At 48.5% G+C, this 12,790-nt stretch overlaps 1 protein-coding gene, 1 long non-coding RNA gene and 1 pseudogene across 2 annotated transcripts in view, besides 1 other annotated feature; 2 read left to right on the top strand and 1 right to left on the bottom strand.

Annotated features, from left to right (window-relative positions):
• The window catches only part of PTPN9 (protein tyrosine phosphatase non-receptor type 9), a 116,065-nt gene that overhangs the window by 63,526 nt on the left and 39,749 nt on the right, over positions 1–12,790 (top strand). Inside the window, exons 6-7 of the mRNA NM_002833.4 lie at positions 6,763–6,873; positions 9,787–10,115. Coding sequence (NP_002824.1) covers positions 6,763–6,873; positions 9,787–10,115 — 440 coding nt within the window. The remainder of the gene's footprint in view (positions 1–6,762; positions 6,874–9,786; positions 10,116–12,790) is intronic.
• LOC107984720 (small nuclear ribonucleoprotein F-like) lies at positions 2,661–3,086 on the top strand (annotated as a pseudogene).
• Positions 10,267–11,052: an enhancer, noted in NCBI's record as "NANOG-H3K27ac hESC enhancer chr15:75797079-75797864 (GRCh37/hg19 assembly coordinates)". NCBI's record gives its function as "activates a minimal SCP1, AML or CMV promoter by ChIP-STARR-seq in primed H9 embryonic stem cells {active_cell/tissue: H9 hESC(primed)}" and the evidence as "EXISTENCE:reporter gene assay evidence [ECO:0000049][PMID:30033119]".
• LOC105370902 (uncharacterized) overlaps positions 12,751–12,790 on the bottom strand; it is a 32,278-nt gene continuing 32,238 nt past the window's right edge. Inside the window, exon 4 of the long non-coding RNA XR_932482.2 lies at positions 12,751–12,787. This is a non-coding gene — a long non-coding RNA (uncharacterized LOC105370902). The remainder of the gene's footprint in view (positions 12,788–12,790) is intronic.

The following is a 12,790-nucleotide window of genomic DNA, read 5'->3' as shown; positions in this document are numbered from 1 at the left end:
AATAGCTGGGATTATAGGCGCCTGCCACCCCGCCCGGCCAATTTTTGTACTTTTGGTAGAGACGGGGTTTCTCCACGTTGGCCAGGCTGGTCTCAAACTCCTGACCTGGGGTGATCCACCCGCCTCGGCCTCCCAAAGTGCTGGGATTACAGGCGTGAGCCACTGCGCCTGGCCTTATTTTTTAAATAGAGACAGAGTCTCGCTATGTTGCCCAGGCTGGTCTTGAATTCCTGGGCTCAAGCAGTACCGCCTCCTTGGCCTCCCAAAGTGTTGGGATTATAGGTGTTGGCCACTGTGCCTGGCCTCTTTATGTACTCTGTATACATAAAAAGTGTAAGATTTCTTTTTTTTTTTTTTTTTTTTGAGACGGAGTCTCGCACTGTCGCCCAGGCTAGAGTGCAGTGGCACGATCTCGGCTCACTGCAAGCTCCGCCTCCCAGGTTCACGCCGTTCTCCTGCCTCAGCCTCCAGAGTAGTTGGGACTACGGCGCCCACCACCACGCCCGGCTAATTTTTTTGTATTTTAAGTAGAGACGGGGTTTCACCATGTTAGCCAAGATGGTCTCGATCTCCTCACCTTGTGAACTGCCCGCCTCAGCCTCCCAAAGTGCTGGGATTACAGGCGTGAGCCACTGCACCTGGCCCGATTTCTTTTTTTTATTCTGGCTCACCTCACCCTGCTCTCCTACTAATTTTACCCCTTTGGTGAGGTGATATCTCCCCCATTGAGAATGCATGCTCTAGGGTATACACTTAGGAGTAGATTGTTGGGTCCTAAAGTCTGTGAAGATTTAACTTTATAAGACAATGTCAAACTGTGTTTCAAAGCAGTCGTACCCCCTTGCCATGTGTGAAGATTTCCATTGATCTACATCCTCTCCAGCACTTACTAATGTCAGACTTCTTAATTTTTTTCCCAATCAAATGGATATGAGATGGTATCTTGTGGTATAGCTTGCGTTTCTTTTATTAGTGAAATTAACTATATCTTCATATATTCGTTAGCTATATATTTTTTCTTCTTCTGTGAAATGTCTATTTATGATTTGTCCATTTAGAAATTAATAGTTTTTAATATATTATTCTAATCCATGAAGATACATATATACACACACACATATAATGTGTGCGCACAGTAAACTGTCTCTTAATTTATAGCTTGTTTTTTCACTTTTTATGAAGCTCTTTGACTAACAGAAGTTCCTTTTTTTTAAGACCAGGTCTTGCTCTGTTGCCAAGGCTGAGTGCAGTGGCACGATCTTGGCTCACTGCAACCTCCACCTCCTGGGTTCAAGCAGTTCTCATGCCTCAACCTCCCAAGTAGCTAGAATTACAGGCATGTGCCACCACACCCAACTGATTTTTGTATCTTTTGTAGAGATGGAGTTTCACCATGGTGCCTAGGCTGGTCTCAAGCTCCTGAGCTCAAGCAATCCAGCCACCTTGGCCTCCCAAAGTGCTGGGATTACAGGCGTGAACCACTGTGCCCGACCCACAGCGCTTAGTTTCATGCAGTTTTTCAATATTCCGGCCCTTTTCATGGGTGTGGTTACCATGCAACACTGGCGGTCTAACTAGGAAGAAATCATTCCTGAGAAATCCAAAAGAAAAAAAAAAAAAGAGGAATTGTAGCTAGTATCTTCTAGCCTATTCTTTTTGCCACTTTTCTTTCTTTTTTTTTTTTTTTTTGAGACAGAGTGTTTCACTCTTTTGCCCAGGATGCAGTGCAGTGGTGCTATCTCGGCTCACTGCAACCTCCGCCTCCCAGGTTCAAGCGATTCTCCTGCCTTAATTTCCCAAGTAGTTGGGATTACAGGTGCTCGTCACCACACCTAGCTAATTTTTGTATTTTTAGTGGAGATGGGGTTTTGCCATGTTGGCCAGGCTAGACTCTAACTCCTGACCTCAGGTGATCCACTAGCCTTGGCTTCCCAGAGTGCTAGGATTAAAGACGTGAGCCACCGTGCCCAGCCCTTTTTGCCACTTTCAAAAGACTGATTCTTTTTTGTTGTTTGTTTGTTTTGAGATGGAGTCTCTCTCTGTCCCCCAGGCTGAAGCGCAATGGCCTGATCTCAGCTCACTGCAGCCTCCGCCTCCCGGGTTCAAGTGATTCTCCTGCCTCAGCCTCCCAAGCAGCTGGGATTACAGGTGCTCATCACCACACTCGGCTAATTTTTGTATTTTTAGTAGCAATGGGGTTTCACCATGTTGGCCAGGCTGGTCTCGAACTCCTGACCTCAAGTGATCCATCCACCTTGGCCTCTCAAAGTCCTGGGATTACAGGTGTGATCCACCACGCCCAGCCTCAAAAGACTGATTCTCAATCTGACATGTCACTCTGTTCTCTTCAGTTACCCTTTAGTTCTACTGATTTGGAGAAACCCCAGCACTCCTCTATGGAGAATATACAGCATCTAGAACAAACTTCTCCAAAGGCCTCTTCACTGAAGTGTGATAAACTACTTTCATCTTTTCCTTCAAAGATGCAACAATTTATTTCAGGACCTAAATGTCCAAGGTCCTTTTACCAGCAAATCAAAAACCATTCTAGGAAAACACCTGTTATTTCCACAAAATGATAAATAAAAAGTAGAAGCTATTACGTCTCTTTTTTCAGAGCAAAGAACTGCAGACCTGGGCCTAGTCTATTTACATGACTGTCTGGGGGTACCTGCTGCAGTCACCAGGGATGGGTGGCAGCTTGGTCAGCAGCGAATAGCCTGCAGCATTCTCCTGTGGTTATAAAGGATTTACCCCTCAATCCCAAACCTTTCCTCAAGGGATTAACAGAAAAGCCAGTGACAGTGAAACTTAAGTGGCGAATGGATTACAAAGGCTAACTGGTATCTGTAGATGAACCAGATCTACAGATGTATCTATAAGAACATGTAGCTTGCAAATACAGAAGAATACATAGTTGGGGTATTGTCTGGACATCTGGATGAAGTTTTACTAAAGTATAATAATGTCCTTTGTCTCAGAGGTGTGGAAGAGGAAGAGGATGGGGAAATGAGAGAATAGCGTCTTTTCTGGGGGATTTTAAAAATATATATTTCTAGACAATAAAGATTTGTTTGTTTTTCAAATAAATAAATGACTGTATAGCACCCTCATATACTGTCAGTTCAGTAAGTCGTTAACACCTTTTGGAAGGCATCTGGCATTATAAATCCTTAAAAATGCACATACCCTTTGATCAGTTGTATTTCTGAGATTATATGCTAAGGAAACAATCAGGAAAATATAAAAAGAGTATTTACTGCACATTTATTTTAGATAATTAAAAATAATACCTTAAGCTGGCTCCAGTGACTTAAATCTATAATCTCAGCCCTTTGGGAGGCTGAGGTGGGAGAATTGCCTAAGGCCAGGAGTTCAGGACCAGTCTAGGCCACGTAGCAAGACCCTGACTGTACAAAATTTAGCTGCATGTGGTGGTGTGTGCCTATCATCCCAGCTACCCAGGAGGCTGAGGCAGGAGGATCACTTGAGCCCAGGATATGAGGCTGCAGTGAGCTATGATCATATGATTGCATTCCAGCCCAGTTGATAAAACCCTGTCTTAAAAAAAAAAAAAGAATATTCATAATCTTTAGCCAAATAATCCCAGTCTTAGAAACAGCTTCTTAAAATAATTTAAAAGGAGGCCGGGTACAGTGGCTCATGCCTGTAATCCCAGCACTTTGAAAGGCCAAGATGGGCGGATCACTTGAGGCCAGGAGTTCGAGACCAGCCTGGCCAACATGGTGAAAACCCATCTCTGCTAAAAATACAAAAAAGTTAGCCAGGCGTGATGGCACACGCCCGTAATCCCAGCTACTCGGGAGGCTGAAGCAGGAGAATTGGTTGAACCCTTGAGCAGATATCGTGCCACTACACTCCAGCTTGGGTGACCAAGTGAGACTAAAAAAAAAAAAAATATTAAAGTGAGTCTCAAAAAAAAAATTAAAAGGAAAAGATAAAATGAGCATATCAGGATTATTTAGGCCTGAAAACAAACTGAATAATCAGAATGATGGTTACATGGTTAATTAAATTACCTATGTCATATTTATTCCCCAGGATATTGTGACTTTGTTAAAACTGACAAATAGAAAGTCTAAGTTGGGGAAAGACGGGACTTTTTAATATGTAAAGGTGGAAAACAAAACAGCTACCCATATAGAAAAAAATGTCAGATTCCTACATCTCATACCATGTTCAAAAATCAACTTCAGATAGGTTAAAGTCTTAAATAGCAAAAACAGGCCAGGCATGGAGGCTCACACCTGGAATCCCAACACTGGGAGGCCAAGGCAGGCAGATTGCTTGAACCCAGTAGTTTGAAACCAGCCTGGGCAACACGATGAAACCATTTGTATTTTTATTCTACAAAAATACAAAATTAGACAGGCATGGTGGCACATGCTACTTGCGAGGCTGAGGTAGGAGGATCACTTGAGCCTGGGTGGTCAAGGCTACAGTGAGCCATGATGGTGCCATCGTACTCCAGCCTGGGCAACAGAGTGAGAACTTGTCTCAAAAAAAAAGGACAAAAACAAAAGTTTAAATTTTTAAAAGAAAATAGCTCCTCAAATGTGGACAAGTGGAAACAATGTGGAAAATAGCTCCTCAAATCTGGACAAGTGGAAACAACCAATGTGTACAAGTGGAAACAACCCAAATGTCCATCAACGGATTAATAGATAAGAAAAATGTGGTATATTTATGAGGAAATATTATTCAGCCTTAGAAAGCAATGTAATTCTGAGACATGCTACAATATGGATTAACCTTGAAAACATTATGCTAAGTAGGATAAACAAGACAAAAAAGGACAAATATAGTAGGATTCCAATAATACGAGGACCTAAAATAGGCAAATTCATAGAGACAGAAAGTAGAACCAAGGTTACTAGGGACTAGGGGGAGAAGGGAATAGGGAGATGTTATTTAATGGGTACAGGGTTTTTGTTTGTGATGATGAAATAGTTCTGAAAATGAATAGTGGTGATGGCTGCATTGTGAACATACTTAACGCCAATAATTGTACACTTAAAATGGTTTAAAAGGTCAATTTTGTTGTGTATATTTTACAATAAAAAACCAAATTAGAAAAATTAATACACATTGGTGGAATCGGTGGTACAGCAGTAAAAAAAAAAAAAAGTACTTTTTCTGACATTAAAATAGAAAAGGATTTAAGACACACAACACACTAACCAGAAAAGAAAACAGTAATACATTTAACCATTTGAAAATTAAGAACTTCACGCCAGGAGCAGTGGCTCAATGCCTATAATCCCAGCACTCTGGGATGCCAAGGTAGGAGGATCACTTGAGATCAGGAGTTCGAAACCAGCCGGCCAACATGGTGAAACCCTGTCTCTACTAAAAATACAAAAATTAGCCAAGTGTAGTGGCGCAGTCCCAGTTACTTGGGAGCCTGAGGTGGGAGGATCATTTGAGCCTGGGAGGTACAGGACTCAGTGAGTGGCGATTGTGCCACTGCACTCCAGCCTGGGCAACAGCAAGATCCTGTCTCAAAAACAATACAAAACAAAAACAGAGCAGCCAAGCAAACAAAAAAACTAAGCACTGTGGATTAGGAATGAATGATTTTTTCATCTTTATATCTTGTGTGGATGAGGATATCTCCTTTTTTTAGATCTCATTTGCCATAGTGCACATTAGATTATTGATTGGTAAATACATAGATGAATGAATAGATTAAAAAAAGATTATGCATACATCAGACTGAATGAAAAGTTATGAAAGAGAAATTTTTAAAATTTTTAAATTTTTATTTATTATTGTTAAAATTTTGAGATGGAGTTTCGCTCTTGTCGCCCAGGCTGGAGTGCAGTGGTGCGATCTTGGCTTACTGCAACCTCCACTTCCTGGGTTCAAGCGATTCTCCTGCCTTAGCCTCCCGAGTAGCAGGGATTACAGGCACATGCCACCATGCCCGGCTAATCTTTGTATTTTTAGTAGAGATGGGGTTTCACCATGTTGGCCAGGCTGGTCTCAAACTCCTGACATCAAGTGATCTGCCCGCCTCAGCTTCCAGAAGTGCTGGGATTACAGGCGTGAGCCACTGTGCCCAGCCATATTATTTTTTTTGAGACAGAGTTTCACTCTTGTTGCCCAGGGTAAAGTGCAATGGCTTGATCTCAACTCACTGCAGCCTCTGCTTCCTGGGTTCAAGTGATTCTCCTACCTCAGCCTTCTGAGTAGTTGGGATTACAGGTGTCTGCCACCGTGCCTGGCTAATTTTGTATTTTTAGTAGTGATGGGTTTTACCATGTTGGCCAGGCTGGTCTTGAACTCCCAACCTCTGGTGATCCACCCACCTCGGCCTCCCATAATGCTGGGATTATAGGCATGAGCCACCGCACCTGGTCGAGAAATGTTTAATGTTCAGTTTATTCATGATCTCATTTTTCCTTCAAGTTTTAATAACATAACTTTTTTAAGAGGCATATATGTATGCTGATGTGTGGTATGTGTAGGATATCTGTTGAGATGAGAAGTCAGAATAGTTTTTGATCCATAAAGCTTACGGTAGACAAGAACTTAACATTGTTATTTTTAAAGGTAAATCAGCTTCTAATTTCTTCAGTTTGTTTAACCACTTTTCCTCTAGCTGCTGAGATCAAACCTGAATTAGGCTGTAGACTCCCCCTGCTGGGTAAGAATGGGGAGAAGAGCAGAAAACCTAAACTTGGGCTTGAAGAGTCACAGGTTCCATTACACTTAAATCCTCATGTGTTTTCTCCACAGGGAGCATTTCCAGCTCGTTTGAAGAAGGTGCTGATTGTGGGGGCACCCATATGGTTCCGAGTGCCCTATTCCATCATCAGTCTCCTCCTGAAGGACAAAGTCCGGGAGAGGGTAAGGCAAGCTTGCCCTTTTTTATCTGGAGGTGAATAGATACAGTGAATTCCTGCCAATTAATTTTCTACCTTCAAAAAATCCTCCTGGCGTGTCTTCTAGAGCCTGTTCTGCTTCTGTTAGTGCATTCACTTATATTCTCTACCTGATGCATTAGTCAGTTCAATACAGACTGCCTCTCTTACTGTCCTACGAGCTTCTTGAAGTTCAAAACTAAACACAGTTTATCTGGTTCTCACTTTCTATAGCACCTTGCATAAGATAGTACTGAAGGAACGTGTCCTGGAGGTAACTTAGGGATAGCTGCTACTTCCAAAATTTATCCTAGTGCTGCATAGGCCTTTAATATTTAACAGCTTGTAATATAACTGCATTAGTTGAACTGGCATTAGAATTTGTTCAACTGGAAACATCATTCAATCCCTTGACCACCAGGGTTGTGGAGGAAAGTTTTTCGTTATGTCTCTTTCTACATTTATTCCTGGCATTTTTTTTTCTCAGAATACCTTGTTGCTTCCCAATTTCAAAAGCGTTCAAAATTACTTTAATTCTGGGCCAAGTGTAATGGCTCATGCTTATAATACTAACACTTTGGGAGTCCGAGGCCAAGGCGGGAAGATCGCTTGAGGCCAGGAGTTTGAGACCAGCCTAGGCAACACAGTGAGACCCCGCCGCCACAATAAAACCAGAAACTTTAATTCTGTTATAATCTCCTGCGTGTTCCATGATTAAAAGATTTATGGTCTCAGTTACTGATTGCAGCAATTAAAAGACAGGACATGAAAGTGAAAACATTTGGTTCTGTGGAAGCTGCTTAGAGACCTAATGACGCAGAGTAGGAGAGAGCTTTTCTTTTTTTTTTTTTTTTTTTTTTTTTGAGAGTGTCTCACTCTGTTGCCTAGGCTGGAGTGCAGTGGCACGATCTTGGCTCACTGCAGCCCCGCCTCCTGAGTTCAAGCGATTCTTCTGCCTCAGCCTCCTGAGTAGCTGGGAGTACAGGCGCACGCTACCACACCCAGCTAATTTTTGTATTTTTAGTAGAGACGGTGTTTCACCATATTGGCCAGGCTGGTCTCGAACTCCTGACCTCATGATCCGCCCACCTCAGCCTCCCAAAGTGCTGGGATTACAAGCGTGAGCCACCTTTTTTGAGACGGAGTCTCGCTCTGTCTCCCAGGCTGGAGTGCAGTGAAGCGATCTCGGCTCACTGCAAGCTCCGCCTCCCAGGTTCAAACCATTCTCCTGCCTCAGCCTCCCTAGTAGCTGGGACTACAGGCGTGTGCTGTCACGCCCGGCTAATTTTTTGTGTTTTTAGTAGAGACGGAGTTTCACTGTGTTAGCCAGGATGGTCTTGATCTTCTGACCTCGTGATCCACCCACCTCAGCCTCCCAAAAGTGCTGGGATTACAGGCATAAGCCACCGTGCCCAGCCAGGAGAGATCTTTTCTTTCTTTTTTTTTTTTTTTTTTTGCGACAGAGTTTTGCTGTTGTCGCTGAGGCTAGAGTGCAATGGCATGATCTTGGCTCACTGCAACCTCCGTCCCCCGGGTTCAAGTGATTCTCCTGCCTCAGCCTCCCAAGTAGCTGGGATTACAGGCTCCTGCCAACATGCCCAGCTAATTCTTGTATTTTTTTAGTAGAGATGGGGTTTCACCATGTTGGACAGGCTGGTCTCAAACTCCTGACCTCAGGTGATCCACCTGCCTCAGCCTCCCAAAGTGCTGGGATTATAGGCATGAGCCACCGTGCCAGCTGGAGAGATCTTTTCTAAGGTAACTCTTTGAGAGGAATCCATAGGCAAGTTCTTGCACTTGAATTATAGGAATTATACATGCATGTATAAACTCAAAATATATTAAGCACTTTTTGTAGTCGAAGCACTGGTTCCTGATAATTAAAAATTAAGTGAGACAGTCTACCCTCAAGGAGCTCATGGTCTTGATAGGGAACACAGAGATACACATAGGAGGACTTTGGCTCTGCAGGAACGCAGAGGAGCATATGGCCTCAGGCAGTCAGGAAAGACTTCACAGAAGAGGTGAGCTGTGCTGGTCCATGAAGAGGCAGAGGAGGAAAGGAAGGCATTCCAAGAAGAGGCGACAGCAAAAGAGATGAGCTTTTAGGAGGAAGAGAATCCCCATTCCACAGAGATCCTAAGGAGAACCAGTTAAGCTAATTAGTTCCAGCATGGCTATGTCCAAGCAGAGAGCAGAATTAAGTTTTATGGTTACTACAAAAAATTAGCTGGGCGTGGTTGTGTGCATCTGTATTCCCAGCTACTTGAGGGGCTGAGGTGGAAGGATCACTTGAGCCCAGGAGGTTGAGGCTGCAGTGAGCCTTCATCACGCCACTACACTCCAGGCTGGGTGAAAAAGTGAGACCCTGTCTCAAAAAAAAAGTGTTATCTCACATTTTTCCTGGGCTACCCTGCCTCTGGGTGTCTTGCTTTCATAGAATCCTATCTTTGTGAACAGTTATACCAAGCTGAGTAAAATACAAGCTAACAGGCCTTAGAATTGGTTGTCTGAGTATGGGGTTGACAAAAATAACTACTACCTATGCATTCTTAGTGGCCAAAAAAAGAGTACCAGCATGCAGCGATGCTGGGAAGCCTTGTTAATAATATAAAGCTTTTGTTCACTACATCGTCCTTTCAGAAGATGTATAACAGTGTCCCTAATTCCAGGAGTGAATTTTATATACATTCTGGGAGTTCACACTTTTATCTGGCAAATTCATAGGACTTAAATCTCAGGCAGATGAAATGTAGTCTACTACTTTTACAAGTATACCTTGTATTTCAAGAAAATCTTATCCCATCCTCCAAACCTGATATAAATACATTTATTCTTTGTCACTCTATATGCCTTTCCCTCCTCCCACATACTCACATGGTTCTTTCTAACCTTCCAGATTCAAATATTAAAGACATCTGAGGTCACGCAGCATCTGCCCAGGGAGTGTCTTCCAGAAAACCTGGGTGGGTACGTCAAAATTGATCTCGCCACTTGGAATTTCCAGTTCCTACCCCAGGTGAACGGCCACCCAGATCCCTTCGATGAGATCATCCTGTTCTCCCTCCCTCCTGCCTTAGACTGGGACTCAGTACATGTTCCAGGTCCCCATGCTATGACCATCCAAGAGTTGGTGGACTATGTTAATGCCAGGCAAAAGCAAGGAATCTATGAGGAATATGAAGACATTCGTCGTGAGAACCCTGTTGGCACTTTCCACTGTTCCATGTAAGTAGAAAAAGTTTGGGCCAGCAGCTGGTTACCAGGATGCTTCTGGTAGGCTCTGGCAACAGCTCCTTCCACCCCTCACTTGCTTAGCAGAGACCCTTCCTTATGTTAGGGAACATCACTCTCACATAAATGATGGTTTCTCGCATGCAGAAAGAGGTACTTTCTGCTTTGGTGCTTCTTTTTTTTTTTCTTTTTTTTTTAAATTTTTATTTTTTTTATTGATCATTCTTGGGTGTTTCTCGCAGAGGGGGATTTGGCAGGGTCATAGGACAATAGTGGAGGGAAGGTTGGCAGATAAACAAGTGAACAAAGGTCTCTGGTTTTCCTAGGCAGAGGACCCTGCGGCCTTCCGCAGTGTTTGTGTCCCTGGGTACTTGAGATTAGGGAGTGGTGATGATTCTTAACGAGCATGCTGCCTTCAAGCATCTGTTTAACAAAGCACATCTTGCACCGCCCTTAATCCATTTAACCCTGAGTGGACACAGCACATGTTTCAGAGAGCACAGGGTTGGGGGTAAGGTCACCGATCAACAGGATCCCAAGGCAGAAGAATTTATCTTAGTACAGAACAAAATGAAAAGTCTCCCATGTCTACTTTCTACACAGACACGGCAACCATCCGATTTCTCAATCTTTTCCCCACCTTTCCCCCCTTTCTATTCCACAAAACCGCCATTGTCATCCTGGCCCGTTCTCAATGAGCTGTTGGGTACACCTCCCAGACGAGGTGGTGGCTGGGCAGAGGGGCTCCTCACTTCCTAGTAGGGGTGGCTGGGCAGAGGTGCCCCTCACCTCCCGGACGGGGTGGCTGGCCAGACCCCCCCACCTCCCTCCCGGACGGGGCGGCTGGCCAGGCGGGGGGCTGACCCCCCCACCTCCCTCCCGGACGGGGCGGCTGGCCGGGCAGAGGGGCTCCTCACTTCCCAGTAGGGGCGGCCGGGCAGAGGCGCCCCTCACCTCCCGGGCGGGGGGCTGACCCCCCCACCTCCCTCCCGGACAGGGCGGCTGGCCGGGCGGGGGGCTGACCCCCCCACCTCCCTCCCAGACGGGGCGGCTGGCCGGGCAGAGGGGCTCCTCACTTCCCAGTAGGGGCGGCAGGGCAGAGGCGCCCCTCACCTCCTGGACGGGGCGGCTGGCTGGGCGGGGGGCTGACCCCCCCCACCTCCCTCCCGGACGTGGGGCTGACCCCTCCACCTCCCTCCCGGACCGGGCGGCTGGCCGGGCGGGGGGCTGATCCCCCCACCTCCCTCCCGGACGGGTCGGCTGGCCGGGCGGGGGGCTGAGCCCCCCACCTCCCTCCCGGACGGGGTGGCTGGCCCGGCAGAGGGGCTCCTCACTTCCCAGTAGGGGCGGCTGGGCAGAGGCGCCCCTCACCTCCCGGACGGGGCGGCTGGCCGGGCAGGGGGCTGACCTCACCTCCCTCCCGGACGGGGCGGCTGGCCGGGCGGGGGGCTGACCCCCCCGACCTCCCTCCCGGACATGGGGCTGACCCCCCCACCTCCCTCCCGGACGGGGCGGCTGTCCGGGCGGGGGGCTGACCTCCCCACCTCCCTCCCGGACGGGGCGGCTGTCCGGGCGGGGTGCTGATCCCCCCACCTCCCTCCCGGACGGGTCGGCTGGCCGGGCGGGGGGCTGAGCCCCCCACCTCCCTCCCGGACGGGGCGGCTGGCCCGGCAGAGGGGCTCCTCACTTCCCAGTAGGGGCGGCTGGGCAGAGGCGCCCCTCACCTCCCGGACGGGGCGGCTGGCCGGGCGGGGGGCTGACCCCACCTCCCTCCCGGACGGGGCGGCTGGCCGGGCGGAGGGCTGACCCCCCCTCACCTCCCTCCCGGACGGGGCGGCTGGCCGGGCGGGGGGCTGACCCCCCCACCTCCCTCCCGGACGGGGGGCTGACCCCCCCCCCACCTCCCTCCCGGATGGGGCGGCTGGCCGGGTTGGGGGCTGACTCCCCCACCTCCCTCCCGGACGGGGTGGCTGGCCAGGCAGAGGGGCTCCTCACTTCCCAGTAGGGGCGGCTGGGCAGAGGCGCCCCTCACCTCCCGGACGGGGCGGCTGGCCGGGCGGGGGGCTGACCCCCCCACCTCCCTCCCGGACGGAGCGGCTGGCCGGGCGGGGGGCTGACCCCCCCACCTCCCTCCCGGACGGGGCGGCTGCCGGGCGGAGACGCTCCTCACTTCCCAGACGGGGTGGCTGCCGGGCAGAGGGACTCCTCACTTCTCAGACGGGGCGGCTGCCGGGCGGAGGGGCTCCTCACTTCTCAGATGGGGCGGATGCTGGGCGGAGGGTCTCCTCACTTCTCAGACGGGGCGGCTGGGCAGAGACGCTCCTCACCTCCCAGACGGGGTCGCGACCGGGCAGAGGAGCTCCTCACATCCCAGACGGGGCAGCGGGGCAGAGGCGCTCCCCACATCTCAGACGATGGGCGGCCGGGCAGAGATGCTCCTCACTTCCCAGATGGGATGGCTGCCGGGAAGAGGCGCTCCTCACTTCCTAGATGGGATGGCGGCCGGGCAGAGACGCTCCTCACTTTCCAGACTGGGCAGCCAGGCAGAGGGGCTCCTCACGTCCCAGACGATGGGCGGCCAGGCAGAGACGCTCCTCACTTCCCAGACGGGGTGGTGGCCGGGCAGAGGCTGCAATCTCGGCACTTTGGGAGGCCAAGGCAGGCGGCTG

Source organism: Homo sapiens, chromosome 15, assembly GCF_000001405.40.
Source record: "Homo sapiens chromosome 15, GRCh38.p14 Primary Assembly".
Classification (NCBI taxonomy): Eukaryota; Metazoa; Chordata; class Mammalia; order Primates; family Hominidae; genus Homo; species Homo sapiens.
Note: the sequence above shows the minus strand (reverse complement) of the source record. Positions and strands in the feature narration are given on the sequence as shown.